This window comes from Homo sapiens, chromosome 14 (genome assembly GCF_000001405.40).
Source record: "Homo sapiens chromosome 14, GRCh38.p14 Primary Assembly".
NCBI classification, from domain to species: Eukaryota; Metazoa; Chordata; class Mammalia; order Primates; family Hominidae; genus Homo; species Homo sapiens.
The window spans coordinates 77,375,196-77,396,359 of NC_000014.9; the positions used below are offsets into that span (position 1 = coordinate 77,375,196).

The 21,164-nt window shown below is 43.6% G+C and overlaps 3 protein-coding genes across 10 annotated transcripts in view, besides 6 other annotated features; 1 reads left to right on the forward strand and 2 right to left on the reverse strand.

Moving 5' to 3' along the window:
• Positions 1–1,899, reverse strand: part of TMED8 (transmembrane p24 trafficking protein family member 8) — a 42,074-nt gene extending 40,175 nt beyond the window's left edge. For all 3 annotated transcript variants that reach the window (NM_213601.3, NM_001346131.2, NM_001346133.2), the window contains exon 1: positions 1,741–1,899. In NM_213601.3, the coding sequence (NP_998766.1) occupies positions 1,741–1,858 (118 nt within the window). In that variant the 5' untranslated portion in view covers positions 1,859–1,899. The remainder of the gene's footprint in view (positions 1–1,740) is intronic.
• Positions 1,477–1,906: a silencer, noted in NCBI's record as "silent region_5972". NCBI's record gives its function as "represses an Ori minimal core promoter by ATAC-STARR-seq in GM12878 lymphoblastoid cells {active_cell/tissue: GM12878}" and the evidence as "EXISTENCE:reporter gene assay evidence [ECO:0000049][PMID:35858748]".
• Positions 1,957–2,166: an enhancer, noted in NCBI's record as "active region_8800". NCBI's record gives its function as "activates an Ori minimal core promoter by ATAC-STARR-seq in GM12878 lymphoblastoid cells {active_cell/tissue: GM12878}" and the evidence as "EXISTENCE:reporter gene assay evidence [ECO:0000049][PMID:35858748]".
• SAMD15 (sterile alpha motif domain containing 15) lies at positions 2,184–16,968 on the forward strand. Its single transcript, NM_001010860.4, has 3 exons — positions 2,184–3,912; positions 5,188–5,286; positions 15,813–16,968. Exons 1-3 carry the CDS (start codon positions 2,224–2,226, stop codon positions 16,047–16,049), a joined length of 2,025 nt encoding a protein of 674 aa, NP_001010860.1. The 5' UTR covers positions 2,184–2,223; the 3' UTR covers positions 16,050–16,968.
• Positions 5,300–5,480: a silencer, noted in NCBI's record as "fragment chr14:77846838-77847018 (GRCh37/hg19 assembly coordinates)". NCBI's record gives its function as "represses an EF-1alpha promoter that drives an FKBP-Casp9 reporter gene in an ReSE screen in HepG2 liver carcinoma cells {active_cell/tissue: HepG2}" and the evidence as "EXISTENCE:reporter gene assay evidence [ECO:0000049][PMID:32094911]".
• Positions 15,087–15,287: a silencer, noted in NCBI's record as "peak2207 fragment used in MPRA reporter construct". NCBI's record gives its function as "represses an SCP1 promoter by STARR-seq MPRAs in K562 erythroleukemia cells {active_cell/tissue: K562}" and the evidence as "EXISTENCE:reporter gene assay evidence [ECO:0000049][PMID:32103011]".
• Positions 15,089–15,233: an enhancer, noted in NCBI's record as "145 bp enhancer 277 fragment used in the MPRA reporter construct; PK_construct_490". NCBI's record gives its function as "activates an SV40 promoter by MPRA in HepG2 cells {active_cell/tissue: HepG2}" and the evidence as "EXISTENCE:reporter gene assay evidence [ECO:0000049][PMID:23512712]".
• Positions 15,154–15,167: a transcriptional cis regulatory region, noted in NCBI's record as "HNF1 motif; enhancer activity is reduced when this motif is scrambled". NCBI's record gives its function as "necessary for full MPRA enhancer 277 activity {active_cell/tissue: HepG2}" and the evidence as "EXISTENCE:site-directed mutagenesis evidence [ECO:0005528][PMID:23512712]".
• A 1,857-nt stretch (positions 16,969–18,825) lies between the features above and the next one.
• The window catches only part of NOXRED1 (NADP dependent oxidoreductase domain containing 1), a 31,993-nt gene continuing 29,654 nt past the window's right edge, over positions 18,826–21,164 (reverse strand). For all 6 annotated transcript variants that reach the window (XM_011536429.4, XM_011536428.4, XM_005267330.5 and 3 more), the window contains one exon: positions 18,826–19,610. In XM_011536429.4, coding sequence (XP_011534731.1) covers positions 19,436–19,610 — 175 coding nt within the window. In that variant the 3' untranslated portion in view covers positions 18,826–19,435. The remainder of the gene's footprint in view (positions 19,611–21,164) is intronic.

A 21,164-nucleotide genomic window follows, 5' to 3' on the forward strand; every position in this document is an offset into this window, starting at 1 on the left:
TGGGCTACTATAATAAACCCCTACATGACATTAAAAAAAAAAATTATCACCCTGCATTCTGAGGGTAAGAGGAAGGAAAGTAAGCATCTCTACCAATGTCCTGGGAGGAAGTGAATGCAGGAATGAATTAGATGTCAGGGGGAAAAAAAAACACACTCATCTATCTAAAACGCGTGGGTACGTTTGCCATAAACACATGAGAACCTAAAGGGGAAGTAAAAACATGCTTAATTTGTAAATACTGGCGCATGCAAGGGACAAGTGTTATAAGACTTACCTTTCTGTGTTTACTTGCTTAGTCTTTTAGACATTATGCTTAGAATTTCTACTGCTATGTTAAATATATGCCAACGATTTTTAATTTAATACAAAGCAGAGTTCGTAAGAAAAAAAGGCAAAATTTGTCAGGTGTTTTAAAGTAAAAGAATATAAAATCATGGGAAAGAGCTGGGTGAGTTGTGTGTGTGTTTGAATAAGGCAGCATTATGAGAGGGAAGATACTTGGGATCAGAGTAGAAGACAGAAAAAGGCACCATGTTGGAAGCCATACATCCAAGAACACCTCTGGCGGCACAGGAAGTTCAACTGAACAAAAAGAGACCTTACTGTCACAATGGTTGAGACGAGTATAGTGTGTACCATGGACTATACCCCAAATGCCTTAGACAAAGCAGCTCAAGTAATCCTCACAATAATCCTATGAGGCAGATATTTTTAGTAATCACATTTTACAGATGAGGAAACTGACGTTTCAGACTCCAATCCAGGCACCCTGGCTCCACAGTAGTGCCTCAACCATTATACTTTATGGTGTCTATTTTAATTTCAGACCTAGAAAATTAATTTATATTTGCTACTTAAATAAGACAAGTTCTCTCCCCTCTACCCTTTCGTATTTCAAAAGAGCATCCTTTCAGTTGCATCGTGTGTGGTGTTCAGGAGGCTGAAAGAAGAAAGTGTGATGGATGGACTCTTTTGTCTTTGGACACTGAAATAATACACACGGAGGAACTCGCGTTAGTAGAAATGGAGACGTCGTCCTGGACAAGAAGAGGATGAGGGTCTTGAGAATGAGGGAGGTAGGCCAAATTTTTAATTCCTGCTCTTGCTTTGGCTACTGTGTTCAAGCAAAAGACCCCAGACACTACCTATTTCAACTCTGCTTTTCATTTTTCCCACTCTAAGCGATGGAGAGGATGGCAGCAAGGCCAGGGGGCCTATGTGCAGGAAGGCTAGGGCGCAGTGGGCTTCTGGCAGAGGAAGGCAAGGCTGCCAACCCGGGTGGGGGCCGAGAGGCGCGTGGTAAGGCTGGGGCAGGGGACTGAGATGGGGATAGGGTGGGGAGCCAGAAGCAGGGGGCGGCGAGGCCAGTAGGGTTCGGGTCGGCAGTCTAGATGTGATTAGCAGACGGAGGTGGGACCCGAACCCCGGCTGAAGCTGAAACTGAAGCTGAAGAGGCGCCAGGGGCAGAGCCACCCTGTCACTACCATTTGGGCAGATCTCAGAAAGGAAGCGGGGCAGGAATCAAGGCATTTCGAAACAGGAGTGAGTAGAAAATAACCTCGAGCCCAGGGCCCGGGTGGTGGCAGCGGCGGGGAAGGGGCCCCGCGCGCGAAGGGGCTGCCGAGGTGGGTCCGCTCCGCGGGGAAGCCCAGGACAGAGCGCGGCGGAGGCTCGCGCCGTGGTGCGGGGCCCTGAGGCCGGGCGGCACCCACCCGCCAGCGCCCCGGCCTTGCGTACCTGAGGCGGCCGCCTGGCTCCCCTCCACTCCCTGGCAGTCCCCGACGCCGCCAGCCGACCCTGGGCGGGCTGTGGGGCTCCAGGAGCCCGGCCCCTCAGCCGCCTGCAGGTCAGACATCTGCAGCCCGCGCACGGAGCTCTCCGCTGCCAGCCGCGAGTGGCTCCGGAAACAGCCGAAGGCCGAGCGAGCGCCGAGCACAGCCGAGCGCAGCCTGCAGGCCGGAAGAAGCGGCGCGGCGGCCGCTTGAAAAGCTAGCTGACCCAGGGGCGGCCACAGGAGCTCTGGCCCGCTGAGGCTGGCGATGAGGCCGCAGGGAGGGTTACTGCGTGCTTGTGACAGACGATTTTTAAAGTCAGGGCTTGAAAGAACAAACAAAACCTGGGGAAGAGTCAGGAAGACACTGCCGGAAATCGTGGTATCCATAGAGACGCTATCGGAAGTTGGGGTTGCTAGGAAGCCGCGGCGCGTCTGCTAAGCTGCAAATGGCTGAAGTCCCGGAGGATTATGATTCCGGCCCAGATGAAGATGGAGAGCTGGAGCCTGAGAGGCCTGAACTGCCTGGACTTCATAAATTGTATGAAAATGCCGAACCAGACACCATGGCAAAGGCAGACTCGAAGCTACCAGCAGAGATTTACCAAGAGCCACAGCCAGAGACCGAGGAAGAGGACTTCAAAGAGGGGGAGCCAGACAGTGCTAAGAACGTGCAGCTGAAACCTGGCGGGACGTCCCAGGAAGGAATTGCCAAGGAGTCCAAGAGAGACGTACCAAGCGAAACTGAACCAGGGATACACCAAGAGGTAAAGTCGGAAACATCCAGAGAGATGGGAGAGTTTTTCAAAGATTTGGAGGCCCCTATGGATGAAACGCATAAAGAGTCAGACCTAGAGCCACCAGAGGAGGCTAAACCAAATGTTACAGAGGATGTGTTCCTAGAGTCAGCTATGGAAACAGATCCAGATCCAGTGCCACCAACGGAAACCATGTCTGAGGTTTCGGGGGCCACAGTCAGAGAGAGAAATTTAGAATTACTAGAGGAGGAGACTGAACCGGGGGTTCCAGAGGAATCACTTAGAGTGCAACATGAAGAGACAGGTCTAGAGCCTCCAGAGCAGACCAAACAAGATTTTCCAAGTGAGAAACTAGGAGAATCACTTGAAGAGACAGATCTTCAGCCACCAAAGATGACCAAACCAGAGACTCCAGAGGAGACACAAAGAGAGTCAACTGAGAAGAAAAGGACAGAGCCACCCGAGCAGGCTAGACTGGAATTTCTGGAGAAGGAACCAAGAAAGTCTAGTGAGGAGGCAGGTCTAGAGCCTCCAGAAGAGACTCAACCAGAGGTTCCAGAGGAGATGCAAAGAAAGGCAACTGAGGAGAAAGGGACAGAACTACCTGAGCGGACTAAACCAGACTTTCCAGACCACAAGCCAAGAAAGTCTACTGATGAGAACGTTCCTGAGCCACTAGAAGAGATCAAATTAGAGTTTCCTGAGGAAGAATCAAGAAAAACAAATGAGGAAACAATTCTAGAACAATCAGAAATGATGAAACCAGAAAGTCCAGAAGAGATAAGAAAGTCAAATGAGAAAAAAAATCCACAGCCACCAGAGGAGACTGGTCCAGTGCTACCACAGGAGATCAACCCACAAGTTGAAGAGAAAACACAAACAAAGCCAACTGAGAAAATTCTAGAGTTACCAGATGAAACCAAACCAAGGGAGACACATGTAGAATTTTCCAAGGAAGACAGGCCAGAACCAATAAAGTCTAAGTATTCTGTAGGAAACGATGAGCTAGAGCACCGTGAGCCTAAAAGAGGAAAGTTGTCACTAAGTGACAAATTTAGAAAAGAATATTACGCATTAGGATCTCTCAGAGAAAGTGAAGAATCAATTGGTACACATTATGAGTTTTTGCAACCACTCCAAAAATTGCTTAATGTCAGTGAAGAATGCTCATACTCAGATCCCTCAGAGTCTCAGACAGAATTAAGTGAGTTCGTTCATGAAAAGGAAGTTGTAGATTTGTCCCAAGAGTTGAAGGAACGGGTCTCTGAAGATGACGAAACCCAGCCAGAAAAAGGGACTGAGTTACAATTTGAGCATCTTAATTGGGATCCAGAGGAAGTTGCAGAGTGGATTAGCCAGCTAGGCTTCCCTCAATACAAGGTATACAAAAATAAGATGTTTTGAAATCACATGCTGTCATCCGTCTACTTCTTATTCCTTCTAACTTGGCCTGAGCTCTTACCTCTTTACCGGAAGGAGTATCAAAAAGTCCTAGACTGTGGTAGAGGTAACTTGGATTTTAATTTTGGCCTTGCCACTGATGTATATTTGTATTTTGGGAGAGGAAGGGAGGGTCACATCGGTTTGTTTTTCCTCTTCCAGTGATTACACTTCTCTGCAATCCTTGAATAAAAGACCAAGAAGAGTATATAGACCTCCTTTCTTTTTTTTTTTTTGAGACACAATCTCGCTCTTGCCAAGGTTGGAGTGCAGTGGCACGATCTCGGCTCACTGCAAGCTCCACCTTCCCCAGGTTCACGCCATTCTCCTGCCTCAACCTCCTGAGTAGCTGGGACTGGGACTACAGGCGCCCGCCACCATGCGCGGCTAATTTTTTGTATTTTTAGTAGAGACGGGGTTTCACTGTGTTAGCCAGGATGGTCTCCATCTCCTGACCTCGTGATCCGCCAGCCTCAGCCTCCCAAAGTGCTGGGATTACAGGCGTGAGCCACCGTGCCCGGCCTTAGACCTCCTTTCATAGAAAACTGTATTTTTAAGTAGACTTTGTTCAAGGTAGGCTTTTTGGTACTTTGTCAAGTTATTTTAGTGGCAGCTCCCTTGCTTTGAACTTGTGCTATTACTTTTTAAAGTGTCTGCCCCAAATATGTCACCTGTATCATGAGCACTTAAGTGTATTAATTCAAGTTAGCCAGTTAACCAAAACTAGTTTTAGTAAAAAGTCAGTGTAAACCTCTTGTTTCACTGATGCCAACTAGGTTTAAGGCTACCACAAAACAATACAAGATCTGAAACCTTTTGTACCTACTATACTTACAAATGTAATTGAGACATGAAGAAGCACTGGTTGTACCATGCCCAAAAAAACAGTTAAAGAGCAGTGTAAAATTTAATAAAGAGCTTACATGGAAAAATTGTGCCGTTATTGGGATAGAAAGTAAATTTAAGCTACTCAGGAGGCTGGGGCAGGAGGACTGCTTGAGTCCAGGAGTTCGAGGCTGCAGTGATCTATGACTGCAGCACTGCACTCCCGCCTGGATGACAGAGTGAGACCCTGTCTCTAAAAAAGAAAAAACAAAATAATATTTTTTTCTCAGGGTAGAACAAACACGACTTCTTCCCTTCCTCCCCCTTCCCTCCCTTTCTTCCTTCTATTTGCAGTACATTTTTTAAGTGATGTCCTTGTTGTATTGACAGGAGTGTTTTATCACAAACTTCATCAGTGGCCGAAAACTCATTCACGTCAACTGCTCAAACCTCCCTCAGATGGGGATAACAAACTTTGAGGACATGAAGGTGAGTTGTGTCCAAAGTTTCCCTACAGAGCACTGTTAACAGTGCCACCATCTGTCTCAAACCAACCTTTTTTTCCTCCAGCCTGGCCTCCCACTTCTGTCAATGGTGTCATCATAATTCCAGTTCCTCAGGCTCACGGTGGTTGCCTCCTCTTTCTCCTTTGATCCCCATAAATATTCCAAGAACTGTCCATTGCTCCTGTGGCACTTACACCGTCTGGCTTTCTTCATTCCCACTTTTCAGACCTTATGGCCTCATGCCTAGAACACCACAGTGGCCTCCCGCTTTTAGCCTGTCTCAATGGACCCTTTGGATTCAAGGGCCCTGCTTTTATGCTCTCACTTTCCACCTACTTATGTACTATTCAAAAACCTTCTTTGGATCCCTTCTGCTTACCAAGATAGTCTCCACTCCCTAGTTTAGAATTTAGGGCCCTCCACAAGTTCTCTCCCCTACCACTCCTCCACATGAATTTTGTGCTCCAGCCTACCACCAGGTCTAACACCTTCGCAAACCTGCCTGGTGCGTTCTTCTCTCTATGTCTTCGCTCAGTTCCCCCATCCTCTGTATTACTAATATGAATCTTAATCATCCTTCAAGACCAGTTCCTCATTTGCATCTCCCCAAGAAGTCTTTTGTAACATTCCCAGCCCACAGTAGCCCCCATCCCAAGTTCTCATGACATTTTGTGTCTCTGACACCCATTTGGCACTTATATAACACCATATGTATTTTGCCTGCTTTGCTGCCTAACTTTGAAACAAGCTACATTAACCACTCTGAGCATCAATTTTCTAAAATCTCCAGCACCAACAGTTCATGATTATTCTCCTTTGCATAACAGTACCCTCCATTTGTAGTGCTTTGCAATTTACAAAGCATCACAAACAATCTCACGTGTAACCTCTCCTTTAGTACCCCACCCCAATAACCCTCCAAGAATGGACAGTTCTTGGCATAACCATGGTTTTGCTCAGCACACCCATGCCCAGAAATGTACCACCTCAGTGGTTTCCAAACTTGGGTCGTCTTCAGAATCAAATGAGATTTTTTGAAAAAGATACATTCCTAGGCTTCATCCTCCAGAGATTTTGATTCATTAGGGCTGGGTAGGCCCTGGAATCTCTTCCCTAGATGACTCTTCAACAGGCCTTATAACCCTAAAATTCCATAAGTCATATGGTTTAGAAATAAGAAAACTATGCTTGTTAATACCTGAGTCCTTTTACTAGCAAGAAGATATAACGAAACTTTTTAAATTATTAAACATACAGTCCTAACTGAGCGTTTACTTTCTTAAATTCTGCTAATAGCTATGCTTTGCTGAGAGCTTACTGTGTTTGGGGCCTCTTATATGTATTATTTCACTAATTCCCATTTTATAGAAAACTGGGGCCCAGAAAGGTGAAACAACTTAACAAGCTATTCAGATAATACGTTTTTTCTGTTTTTTGTCTTTGTTTTTGTTTTTTTTGAGACAGGGTCTCGCTCTGTCACCCAGGCTGGAGTGCAGTGGTGTAACCTTGGCTCACTTCAACCTCCATCTCCTGGTTTAAGCGATTCTCCTGCCTCAGCCCCCCAAGTAGCTGGGACTACAGGTGTGCGCAACCATGCCCAGCTAATTTTTTCTTCTTGTTGTTTTTTTGGGGTTTTTTTTTTTTGAGACCGAGTCTCACTCCGTTGCCCAGGCTGGAGTGCAGTGGTGCGATCTCAGCTCATTGCAACCTCCACCTCCCGGGTTCAAGCGATTTTCCTGCCTCAGCCTCCCGAGTAGCTGGGACTACAGGCGCGTGGCACCACGCCCAGCTAATTTTTGTATTTTTAGTAGAGATGGGGTTTCACCGTGTTAGCCAGGATGGTCTTGATTTCTTGACCTCGTGCTCTGCCTGCCTCGGCCTCTCAAAATGCTGGGACTACAGGCGTGAGCCACCGCACCTAGCCTAATTTTTGTATTTTTAATAGAGACAGGGTTTCATGATATTGGCCAGGCTGGTCTCAAACTCCTGACCTTAAGTGATCTGCCGGCCTTGGCCTCCCAGAAGTGCTGGGATTATAGGCATGAGCCACCACGCCCGACTTATATTCAGATAACAAGTTTAAGAGCCAGGATTTAAGTCCATCTTGTGTGACTTCCCAATCCATGTTCTATTTAACTGTATTGCCTAAGTGAACATTTTTGTTACCATAAACTTCCATGTACTATAAACATTATGATGTGGAAATGATCCTTTATTTATTTTATTTATTTTTTTGAGACAGAGTCTTGCTCTGTCACCCAGGCTGGAGTGCAGTGGCTCGATTTCAGCTCACGGCAACCTCCGCCTCCCAGGTTCAAATAATCCTCCTGCCTCAGCCTCCCAAGTAGCTGGGATTACAGGCACGTGCCACCATGTCTGGCTAATTTTTGTATTTTTAGTGGAGCCGGGGTTTCACCATGTTGGCCATGCTGGTCTCGACCTCCTGACCTCAGATCCACCCGCCTCAGCCTCCCAAAGTGCTGGGATTATAGGCATGAACCATGCCCAGCCTGGATCATTTATTATATACTTGTATTTCCAACCATGCCCTCACTTAACTACCAAGTACTGCCAGATAAATATCTTGTTCTTTTTATGTTCAAAGATAATACAGCTGTTTTTATGAACTCTAATTTCTACTTAAGGTATAATGAATTTTCTAGATAAAAATAAGGAACAGGCTGCTCTGCCTACGGAGCAGCCATAGTCCTTGACTTTCTTAATAAACTTGCTTTCGCTTAAAAAAATAATAATAATAAGGAACAGAATTAGCAAAATAGTAACCTGTCAAATTCCTGGAACATTTAAGTACCAAGAATTTCAGCTTTTTATCATGAGAAGGCATTTTTAAGAGTCAGACAATTCATTCAGCTCCCTTGGTATTCTAATTCCAAAAGTACAATATCAACATGCAGTAATAAAAATTCTAATTATAGTTTTTCTTATCTTGCGAGACACAAGAGGTTTTAAAAATCTTCTGAAATCCTCAAGAGTAAATGACGAATCCAGTGGTCTGTCCTTTTATCTAAGAAATTTGAATAAGCAAACTTTGAGATACTCATTATCACAGTCACCTCAGACAAATGTGGCCTTCCCTTGAGGTCACTAGAGTAACATAAAGACCAAGACATCCAAAGGTTACGTTAGATAAGCTTTGCTTGACACTTAGACCCACATGAAAAAGCTGATTATGGCCAGGTCTGGTGGCTCACGCCTGTAATCCCAGCACTTTGGGAGGCCAAGGCAGGTGGATCACCTGAGGTTGGCAGTTCGCCTGGCCAACATGGTGAAACTTCTTCTCTACTAAAAATACAAAATAAAAAAATTAGCTAGGCATGTTGCATGCCTGTAGTCCTAGCTACTTGGGAGGCTGAAGCAGGCGAATAGCTTGAACCTGGGAGGCGGAGGTTATAGTGAGCCAAGATTGTGCTCTCCATGAACTGCACTCCAGCCTGGGTGACAGAGCAAGACTCAGTCTCAAAAAAAAAAAAAAAAAAAAAAAAAACCTGATTATGCTCTAAGACACAGGGTAACTTCTAGGAGGTCATACATGCTGTAGCTGTCTTCCTTACTGATATACACAGCTTTTAAAATGTCTCCATTGTACTTACAGCACCTAGTTCACCCACAATTTATCCCATAACAACAGTTAAATAGTATAGTTATCTTTTTCATGCTGAGTCTCCCATATCATCATTTATGGACTTTTGGGAGAATAGAAGGAAGGAAGAGCGAGCAGATTGCTTGAGAGTGTGGAATTCTGGACATGCTGCTAAGAATCTGAACAGCATTGCCACTGTGCACCTCCTATACAAGCCTTGCAGTTAATTTATGGCCATTTTCTGTTATCTTCTCAGCCCTTCTATGTTTAATTGGAATTCTTCTGTAAGGAATTCTTCTACATTTAATTGTCCCCTTTCTCCCATTTTTTAATCCATTCAGTCATTGATATTAGTGTGGACTTATGGATATTTATTTTTGGGGTTATAACCCAGTTCTATTGCTATTTATTTTGTTGCTCAAATTGTGCCATCTTTCACCATTGGGGGCTCTTTTAAATTGGCTCTTGTGGCCTTTTGACATGTCCTCCCTTTTTTTTAAAGCATCTCCTTACCTTCTGGCAATATAAGTTGCTTCGGACTCATCTTATATTTTTCCTGCTGCAGCCCCAGAATCAGCCATGTTTCTAAGGAGCCCTGGTTGATTTTATCAGAGGATGGTATTTAGAAACCAAGACGTGGACACTAGTTGTGCTTGTTGCTACTGAGTGTCACTGCTTCTATGCACTCTTAACAGAAAGATCTAGGAAATAAATGTATATATACTAACCCATGTGTACACAAATATCTATCTTATTTCGTATCTATCTGTGTATATACATATGTATTAAAATAAGCATGGGGGCCGGGCGTGGTGGCTCATGCCTGTAATGCCAGCACTTTGGGAGGCTCAGGCGGGTGGATCACCTGAGGTCAGGAGTTCAAGACCACCTGACCAACATGGTGAAACCCTGTCTCTACTAAAAATACAAAAAATTAGCCGGGCCTGGTTGTGCGCACCTGTAATCCCAGCTACTAGGGAGGCAGAGGCAGGAGAATCCCTTGAACCTGGAAGGCAGAGGTTGCAGTGAGCTGAGATCATACCACTGCACTCTAGCCTGGATGACAGAGTGAAACTCCATCTCAAAAAAAGATTGATCTCTCTGATATCTCTAATCTAACATCACAGAGTTCATTCTAGCCTTCCTTCCCATCCTTCCTATCCCCAACCCCACTTGCCTTTTTTTTTCTTTTTTCTTTTTTTTTGAGATAGAGTCTCACTCTGTCACTCAGGCTGCAGTGCAATGGCGCGATCTCGGCTCACTGCAACCTCTGCCTCCCAGGTTCAAGCAATTCTTCCGCCTCAGCCTCCCGAGTAGCTGGGATTACAGGCGCCCACCACTGTACCTGGCCAATTTTTTTTGTATTTTTAGTAGAGATGGGGTTTCGCCATGTTGGCCAGGCTGGTTTCAAACTCCTGACCTCAGGTGATCCGACTGTCTTGGCCTCCCAAAGTGCTGGGATTATACCCCCTTGCCTGTTTATAACTACTTTTTCTGACATTGAGAAACTTGGCTCTCCTTATATGTAAATATGTTTCCCTATGAAAGACAGATTTACCCAATAGAGTTCAGTGTTTGTGTACAGCTGTTTCTGTCTCTCGCCTTACAGTATCTAGACAAAGCACTGTTTTCTTAAAGTTACAGGTCAGCACCTTTCTTCCCCACCCCCTTCAGTGAGATTATGTCTTACTCTATAATACAGTTAGATTCATTTGTCCACAGCCTTTATTCCACCCCAACATCCTGGATTTTTTTTTTTTTTTTTTGAGGCAAGGTCTTGCTCTGTCACCCAGGATGGTGTGCAGTGGTGCAATCTCAGCTCAGTGCAACCTCCACCTCCTGGGCTCAAATAATCCTCCCACTTCAGCCTCCCGGGTAGCTGGGACTACAGCCACATGCCACCACACCCGTCTAATTTTTTGTACTTTTTTGAGGAGATAGAGATGGGGTTTCGCCATATTGCCCAGGCTGGTCTTAAACTCCTGAGCTCAAGCAATCCACCCACCTTGGCCTCTCAAAGTGCTGGGATTACAGGCATGAACCACTGCGCCTGGCCTCTCTTCCTGGCTTTTTAAAAGTTTGCATGCAGTAAAACCATTCTTTGTTGTGTGTAGTTCTGTGGGTTTTGACAAATGCATGCACTCATGTATCCACCACCAAAGAACCATACAGAACAATTCTGTCACTCTAGAATTTCCCTTTGCAGTCAGCCCATCCCTTTACCGTAATCCCTAATCTGTTTTTGATGTCACATAAGTGGAATCAAATAATGCACATTCTTTGGGTCCGGCTTCCTTTCCTTAGCAAAATGCATTTAAGATTAATCCATGTTGTTAGATGAATCAACAAGCAGATGTTAAGGAGACTATACATCTGCTTTAATAATGCTGGTATAGGCTGGCTGCAGTGGCTTGGACCTGTAATCTCAGCTACTCCAGAGGCTGAGGTGGGAGGAATGCCTGAGCCCAGGAGTTTGAGGCTGCAGTGAGCTATGGTCATGCCACTGCACTCCAGCCTGGGCAACAGAGGGAGACCTCATCTCTGAAATAATAATAATAATAGTGGTATAGATGGTTCATATTTTAACCACAACAATTATGTCTTTGTCTTTAGGTTTAGATCATATAAATTATAGATTCCAATTATACAAATATGCATAGTTACATACTATGAGGTAATAACCAATACACAATAAATTGGTGATGAAGCAAAACCATCAGTAGTTTACAAATAAAAGAACAGCAGCCTTTGAAAACAATGATCAACACAAGTTACAATGATAATATAGTAATAATTGTCTTCTTGAAAACCACAGGCATTGCAGGTAACTGGTTGAGGCCATGTGAAGTAGGTGTTCTGCCGTGATGCCACGCACTGAGTATAAGCTATCACCTTAGAATGTAGAATTATGAATCCTTAGAAAACTAATCATCCTCACAAATACCTATTTCCAATAATCCTTACTAACTCAAGTAATTTGCCAGTAAGTTGCTCTAAGTCATAGGCAAAAATAAAGTCTACTGCTTGTTGTTTGTTCATCAGAACTAGAGAGGCCGGGCACAGTAGCTCACGCCTATAATCCCGGCACTTTGGGAGGCTGAGGTAGGAGGATCGCTTGAGCCTAGGAATTCGAGACCAGCCTGGGCAATATAGTGAAACCCCAGCTCTATAAAAAATATTTTAAAAGTTAGCCAGGTGTGGTGGCACATACTTGTAGTCCCAGCTACTCAGCATGCTGAGGTGGGAGGATCACTTGAACCCAGGAGGTCAAGGCTGCAGTGAGCTATGATCATGCCACTGCACACCAGCCTGATTGACAGAGCGAGACCCTGTCTCAAAAAGAATAATAACTAAAGAAAGAAACTGCAGTTTTAGTTCAATCTTTCACCTGTCAGAGGACTTCTTGTTTCATTGATGAACTTCAGACACACTTTTAAAAATCACTGAATAGGAGGAGAGATAGTCAGATTGTATTTATTGATTTCAGTGCTAAGTGTAATGAATTGCTTTTTTTATGAAATTATTATTTTTATTAAGAAACCCCTAAGCACCAAGAGCCATAAAAAAAACCCGTATCATTTGCTGTTATAGCCCACAGAGGGAATATGAGTAGATTATATATATATACTCCCTTCCCAAAACAAAGAAAAATTCCAAAAACACATGAATGTGGCTGAGCAGCTGGCTCACACCTGTAATCTTAGCATTTTGGAGGCTGAGGTAGGAGGATCACTTGAATCCAGGAGTTTGAGACCAGCTGGGGAACATGGCAAAACCCCATCTCTACCAAAAAAAAAGCAGGGTATGTTGTCATGCATCTGTTGTCCCAGCTACTTGGGAGGCCGAGGCAGGAAGATGGCTTGAGCCTAGGAGTTCAAGGCTGCAGAGAGCTATGATCACACCACTGTACTCCAGCCTGCATGACAGAGCAAGACCTTCCTGTCTTGATAAATAAATACACACGAATGTGTAGGGAACACTTTTAATTTCTGCATTACAATACTGTGCAAAACAGTAGTGAACCCTCTCAGCCCACAGTGGGCACACAGCTCTTTTTGTTAATAATGTGTATATGACTGCAGTGTACCTCCTGGGAATACAATCTGTGAACCTTAGGGAATTTGTGAAATAACCTTTTCTATTCGGGGCATTGGAAAGGAGAATCAGGGTACTTGCTTTGGCAGCACATATACTAAAAGAGAATCAGGGTGAGATGCCTACCAAACAAGGTGCACACGTAGAAGCATGCATCACAAACAAGAAGTCTTAGAAGCCACCTGTTCGTGTGTGTGTGTGTGTGTGTGTGTGTGTGTGTGTGTGTGTGTGTGTTTGCTTTTGGAGACAGGTCTGTTACCTAGGCCGCAGTGCAGTGGCATGATCATGGCTCCTCACTGCAGTCTCAAACTCCTGGGCTCAAAAGATCCTCCTACTTCAGCCTCCCAAGTAGCTGGGACTACAGGCATGCAACTTCACGACTGGCTTTTTTTTTTTCTGTAGCAATTTGTTTTTTTTGTTTGTTTGTTTTTTGAGATGGAATCTCTCTGCATCACCCAGGTTGGAGTGCAGTGGTGCGATCTCAGCTCACTGGAACCTCTGCCTCCCAGGTTCAAGCGACTCTCCTGCCTCAACCTCCCGAGTAGCTGGGACTACAGGCGTGCACCACCACGTCCAGCTAATTTTTGTAATTTTAGTAGAGACAGGATTTTGCCATGTTGGCCAGGTTGGTCTCGAACTCCTGACCTCAGGTGATCCACCTGCCTCGGCCTCCCAGAGACATAAGCCACCTCACCTGGCCTTTGTAGTAACTTGGATCTCAGTTCTTAGAAGCCCCAACTGATAAAGATCTCAATTAGAATTCTCACTGGACAACTCAGGAGGCTGAGGCAGGAGGATGGCTTGAACCCAGTTGTTCAAGGCTATAGTACACTATAATTGTGCTTTTGCATATCCACTGCACTCCAGCCTGGGTAACACAGCAAGACCCCATCTCTAAAACAAAACAAAACAAAAAACAAAAACAAACAAACAAAAAAAAACAGAATCCTTACTCGGAATGCCAAGGCAACTATACCCATAAATCATCTCTAGAGTCAACAAAACCAGTTCAAGTAAGATCTGAGAAACATGGCATCTTGCCTATCTAAAAGGCATTGCTAATGGGCAGTTTTATATCAGGTTTAGCATTGTCTGTGGCACAAATTTTACAGTCTTATAACTCTGACCAGTAGCTTTAAATTAAAAAAAAAACAACAAAAAAGTCCATTCCAAATACCCTTTGGCTGTGTTCTAGCAGCAATTCCATGGACTGTCGTCTCATCCAGAGGCAGAATATGAATTCAAACAGTGGTATTATAACTGACCTAGGATTAAAACTAGAATTTGAAAAGGCAATCACAATTTTTTTTTTTTTTTTTTTTTTGAGACAGAGTCTCTCTCTGTCACCTAGGCGGGAGTAGAGTGGTGCGATCTCGGCTCACTGCAGCCTCCGCCTCCCAGGTTCAAGTGATTCTCCTGCCTCAGCCTCCCAAGTAGCTAGGATTACAGGAGCATGCCACCACACCTGGCTAATTTTTGTATTTTTAGTAGAGATGGGGTTTCACCATGTTAGCGAGGATGGTCTCGATCTCCTGACCTCGTGATCTGCCTGCCTTGGCCTCCCAAAGTGCTGGGATTACAGGCGTGGCGTGAGCCACGGCCTGGCCAGCAATCACAATTTAAGCTAGGATATCAAGTGGCATGGTGCTCAATGAATACAAATTTTGTTTTACAGATGCTGAAAATTGTGGCAAAAGATATTTTAGAATACACAAGTATAAGTACTAATAAAACAGCTCGAACTTTAATGTCTGCTTTTTAGTGTTTGAGTTTTTTAGTTAAATAAATGAGGTAACTATTTGTTATGATTTTTTTTTTTTGATGGAGTTTCGCTCTTGTTGCCCAGGCTGGAGTGCAATGGCATGATCTTGGCTCACTGCAACCTCCATCTCCCAGGTTCAAGCGATTCTCCGGCCTCAGTCTCCTGGGTAGCTGGGATCACAGGCGTCTGCCACCACTCCTGGCTAATTTTTGTATTTTTAGTAGAGACAGGGTTTCACCATGTTGGCCAGACTGTTCTCGAACTCCTGACTTCCGGTGATCTGCCCGCCTCTGCCTCCCAAAGTGCTGGGATTACAGGCTTGAGCCACCATGCTCGGCCCTGAGTTATAATTTTTTTTCTTAGTTACACATTAACTGAGCCCCATATAGACAAGTTATTTAATAACCTTCCCAGAGACAGTCATGGCTCCTAATCTGAACATATTATCTGCTCTTATGCTTGGTCAGATTGCTCAGCAAAAACAAAGAAATGAACCCATCCATGGCCATCTGATGCAAGGGCCTAGAAATGTCTTAAATGGTACTTTGAAAAGGATAATCATGACATTTAAGAAATTGGTTTTGGTAAGGTTAGGCTAGTAAGCCTGTGAATTTGTTTCATTATTTTATTTCCCCATAGAAATAAGGAATTGGCAGGGTGCAGTGGCTCACGCCTGCAATCCCAGCACTTTGGGAGGCCAAGGTGGGCGGATCACCTGAAGTCAAAAGTTCGAGACCAGCCTGGCCGACATGGTGAAACCCCATCTCTACTAAAAATACAAAAATTAGCCAGGCGTGGTGGTGTGCGCCTGTAATCCCAGCTACTCAGGAGGCTGAGGCAGGAGAATTGCTTGAATCCAGGAGGCAGAGGTGGCAGTGAGCCAAGATCGCGCCACTGCACTCCAGCCTGGGCGACAGAGCAAGACTTCGTCTCAAAAAAAAGAAAGAAATAAGGAGTTAATATTCAAGAGGCTTAGAAAACTAAATAAACCTTCTTTGATTTGGTTGTGTTTTCAGGTTAGTCTAATTAAAAATTTATCCTTGCGTTTCAGGCAATTTCTCGGCATACGCAGGAGCTCCTGGAAATTGAAGAGCCATTATTCAAACGCTCCATCAGCCTTCCCTATAGGGATATTATCGGCTTATATTTAGAGCAAAAAGGTCATACTGGGATAAAATCTGATTCCTTGACTTTATCTGAATTTGTCAAAGCAGCAGGATTACAGGATTATGCTCCAGAAATAACTGCCCCTGAAGAGAATGAGGAATTACCTTGCACTGAACCATAGGGGAAATCCACTTCACAGAGCTTGAAAGATCAAACTAAATTACTTGAGGGAAGAGGTATGGTCTTTTTTGGTTTTCTTTTTCTCCTTTTTTTTTTTTTTATTTTTTTGAGACAGAGTCTTGCTCTGTCGCCCAGGCTGGAGTGCAATGGCACAGTCTCAGCTCACTGCAACCTTGCGATTCTCCTGTCTCAGCCTCCCGAGTAGCTGGGATTACAGGCATCCGCCATCATGCCCAGCTAATTTTTGTATTTTTAGTAGATATGATGTTTCACCATGTTGGCCAGGCTGGTCTGAAACTCCTAACAGTTGATCTGCCCGCCGTGGCGTCCCAAAGTGCTGGGATTACAAGCGTGACCTACCGCACCTGGCCCTTTTTCTCCTTTTCATTAAGGATCAGTTAGAACTGCTGGCTTCATTCCTAGTTGTGTCTCTGACTTATGGTACCCTCCCTTTCTTTTTGCAATTTAACCCCTTGTTAAAACAAAGATAGTCACGCTTATCTTTCTGGGTAATTATAAGAATTCCTGAGCCGGGCAAGGTGGCTCACACCTGTAATCCTAGCTCTTTGGGTGGCTGAGGCGGGCAGATCACCTAAGGTCAGGATTTCAAGACCAGCCTGGCCAACAAGGTGAAGCCCTGTCTCTACTAAAAATACAAAAATTAGCTGGGCATGGTGGCACATGCCTGTAGTCCCAGCTACTCAGGAGGCTGAGGCAGAAGAATCATTTGAACCCAGGAAACAGAGGTTATAGTGAGCTGAGATGGTGCCACTGGACTCCAGCCTGGGTGACAGAGTGAGACTCTGTCTAAAACAAACAAACAAAACAAAGCAAAACAAAATTCCTGAAAAATTCTAGTAATGCACCTTGTAATAGGAACATGTTGGGGAAATATAATTAAAAATAAAATCTCCTGCCAACTCCGGAGAGATAATTCTTTCCACAAATGCAGAAGAGAAACATTTTTATTCTTGAATAAGCATTAAACTGTGATGCACATCACAGGCAAGCTGCTAAAGAGATTGCAAAGACAAATCTCACCCTTGTAGATGGCAGAGCAGATACAATACACGACATACATGTTAATTATCTGTGTCCAAAGGAAAAATAAAACTTCTATCTTGACAACAGACAGAAGTTACTACTTGGAGCCAGGTACCTAAGCTAAACTCCCACAGAGACAGGGAGACAAGGTACCAACCTCCTCAGTGCTCACATTTCAAAGAGATGTCTCCGTGGCCTCCAAAAAAGAGACTGTCCTGAGGTATAAAATGGCTAGAGATATTCAGCTTTTTAAAAGATTTACATACATCTCAAAGACATAGTAAAAGGATTTGCAGTGACAAGTTCTTTAAAGGAAATGGTGGTTTTTTGTTTATTTTTTTGAGATGGAGTCTCACTCTGTTGCCCAGGCTGGAGTGCAATGGTGTGATCTCAGCTCACTGCAACCTCCACCTCCCGGGTTCAAGTGATTCTCCTGCCTCAGCCTCCTGAATAGCTGGGATTACAGGCATAAGCTACCACTCCCAGCTAATTTTTTTTGTATTTTTAGTAGAGACGGGGTTTCACCATGTTGGCCAGGCTGGTCTCAAACTCTTGGCCTCAAGAGATCTGCCTGCCTCGGCCTCCCAAAGTGGGGAGATTACAGGTGTGAGCCACTGCGCCTGGCCTAAAGGAAATGTTTTGCAAAAAAAAAAGTGGGGAAGTTCTCTCTTCCTTTTGGCATCAGGAAAAATTTAAAAGAAAAAAATTTTTTTAGATATGTGTGTATCTAAATATGTAAATATCTAAACATGGCTTACCACTATGAAATAGGTTCTGTGGTTTGCTTACAGGCTTTTTTATGTGGTACTTTCCAGGTCTTTATAATACAAAATTTAGGCTAGAGTCTACCCATGACTGCACTTCTCAAAAGAAATTATAGGCCGGGTGCAGTGGATCATGCCTGTAATCCCAGCACTTTGGGAGGCCGAGGCAGGTGGATCACTTGAGGTCAGGAGTTTGAAACCAGCCTGGCCAATGTGATGAAACTCTGTCTCTACTAAAAATACAAAAATTAGCCAGGTGTGGTGGTGTGCGCCTGTAATCCCAGCTATTCGGAAGGCTGAGGCAGGATAATCACTTGAACCCGGGAGGTGGAGGTTGCAGTGAGCCAAGATTGCGCCATTGCACTCCAGCCTGGGCAACAGAGTGAGACTCCATCTCAAAATAAATAAATAAATAAAAATAAAAAAAGAAATTATAAAATATTTCTCGTTACCTGAATGGCTCCAGTTCCCCTCTAGTTTTACAGATTTAACTGCTCATTCTCTTCCTGGACTCATATTTTAATTCTGAAAACAACCATGGGCTAACACAGTCCTGAAGGACAGTGATGAAGCTCCAGTTCCCTACACCAGAATGAATAGTAAAAGATGTTTTTCTGTTTTTCCACTGAGAAAAGCAAGAGTGCCTCAAATGAATATTCATGCCAAGTGTTAATATTTGATGATGAACCTAATATTTTCCCAAATTGGACTAACAAAATTGTATCAGAAACCATTCTAACACCATACCATTGCATTTGCCTGGCTCACGATTATGTAAAAAAACAAAAGGTAAATGATTAACCTAAGACCATAGTGATTTACATATATAGTGAATGGTTTTGTTCAAAAGCCCTTTAGCATTTAGCAAACAGTAGTTATGTTCTATGACAGAGCATAGTGACATCCCTGTTGTTTTCAACTCTTATAACTGACAAAAAGTATTTGCAAAACATAAAGGAAATCAACAAATTTGCAGTATAGATCTATATTTTGCAAAATTAGTTTTAGCCATTAAATACCAGTTTTTTAAATGGTTTAAATGGGAACAGCTGTAAATAAGATAGTACCAGAACAGTCATATATAGTCAAAATAAGCATGATACAAGCCATAATTCAATTAAGATGGTTTACCATACCTTCACTTCTCTGTCCAAAATTGTGAGAAAATCAAACTGTATCTTTTTCCAGCTACCTACTGCTGGCAAATGGATTGAAACTTGATTTATTGGAAAAGAAGCTGCAGTATGTAATTGTCTAAAACTTATAACATTATAACTTCTTTAATTTTAGAAGAGAAATAATTTGTATTAACAAGACTTTTCTGCGGGAGCAGCTTACTTAAGTTAGGTTGTGTAGTTTCACTAGTTGCTTCTGAGAGCCAGATACATATTGATGGATAGGACCACTTGTTTTATTCTACATTTTAAAGAGTCATCAGTACAGTTTTATAATTCCTGATGTCTATCATGTGGCAAACACAATACAGCCACAAGACTCCCACAGTCAATTGTGATAATCAGGGCACAACTATTATAGGGAAAATCTGTGAGTGGGAAAAAATCCTGATTCCTGAGTTCTCTTATTGGGATGGAAAGCCTGTGGAAATGACTGGCTGTTCTTTGGTTAGGGAGATGCCAAATGAAGCACAGTATAGATGGGTAAGGTGGTCTTGGAGAACAGGACTACTTGAGAGATGCTGGCTAAACGGAGTTTCCTTGAGTTGCACAGCAGTCAGATCAAACCAGGGGAAAGGCCTGAGGTGAAAAAAATATTGTTACTTTTTTATGTCTGTTCAGTATATCTGATTTGGCTGTTAAACACATCTTTTAAAGAAAGTTTTCCTCATTACCTTTTCATAAACTAGAAACATTAATACCTTTTCATAAACTAGAAATTCAGCTAGAACTAGTCAATGTGTAGATTTAAGTGTACTTAATGGTGATTTCTCACACTTATGTACATTTCTCTAAGTGCATTTGGAGAGGAATTCATTGTTAAAGAATTATTATAATATTAACATTGACACCCTTTGCAGAAAATTTTTCTTTTTTTTCTTTCTTTTTTTTTTTTTTGAGATGGAGTCTTGCTCTGTCGCCCAGGCTGGAGTGCAGTGGCGCGATCTCGGCTCACTGCAAGCTCTACCTCCCAGGTTCATGCCATTCTCCTGCCTCAGCCTCCCGAGTAGCTGGGACTACAGGCGCCCGCCACTACGCCCAGCCAATTTTTTTGTATTTTTAGTAGATACGGGGTTTCACCGTGTTAGCCAGGATGGTCTCAATCTCCTGACCTTGTGATCTGCCCGTCTCGGCCTCCCAAAGTGCTGGGATTACAGGCGTGAGCCACTGCGCCCGGCTGCAGAATATTTTTCTCGAATTTAGAAAGAACATATATAAGATCGTGGACATTAAGCAAGGAAGAAGTCTAATTGCTTTTAAGATATCCTCTTTAGCTGTATAGATTAAAAAGTAGGCTGGGCACAGTGACTCATGCCTGTAATCCTAGCACTTTGGGAGGCCAAGGCAGCAGGATCACTTGAAGTCAGGAGTTTGAGACCAGCCTGGACAACATAATGAGACCTCATCTGTACAAATTAAAAAAAAAATTAGCTGGATGTGGAGGGACACACCTGTAGTCCCAGCTACTCAGGAGGCTGAGGTGGGAAATTGCTTGAGCCCAGCAGGTCGAGGCTGCAGTGAGCTATGATCACACCACTGCACTCTAGCCTGGGCTACAGAGTGAGACCCCCATCTCTAAAAAAACAGAGAGGAAAGTTAATATGCAAATGAATACCTAACGGGGCAACATTAAGTATTAGTCTATAGTGTAATTCAAGTTAAAAAGCCTTAAGACATAGGGTTTCAATATTTTTCAAAAGATCAGGAGAGACAGGCATGATGGTGCGCACCTGTAGTCCCAGCTACTCAGGAGGCTGAGAGAAGAGGATTGCTTGAGCCCAGGAGTTCAAGGCCAGCCTGGGCAACATAGTGAGACCCTGTCTGTTAAAAAAAAAATCAAGAGTAAGGCTAAGGCAAAGATACCTGCTCTCACCAGTCTTATACAGAATAGTACTAGAAGTTCTAGGCAATGCAATAAGGCAAGAAAAGGAAATTAGAAGGCATGGACATTGGAAAGGAAGAAATGAAACCGTCTCTATTTATACATGACATTATTATCTATGTAGAAAACTCCAAGGAATCTTTTTTTTTTTTTTTTTTGAAATGGAGTTTCGCTCTTGTTGCCCAGGCTGCAGTGCGATGGTGTGATCTCAGCTCACCACAACCTCCGCCTCCTGGGTTCAAGTGATTCTC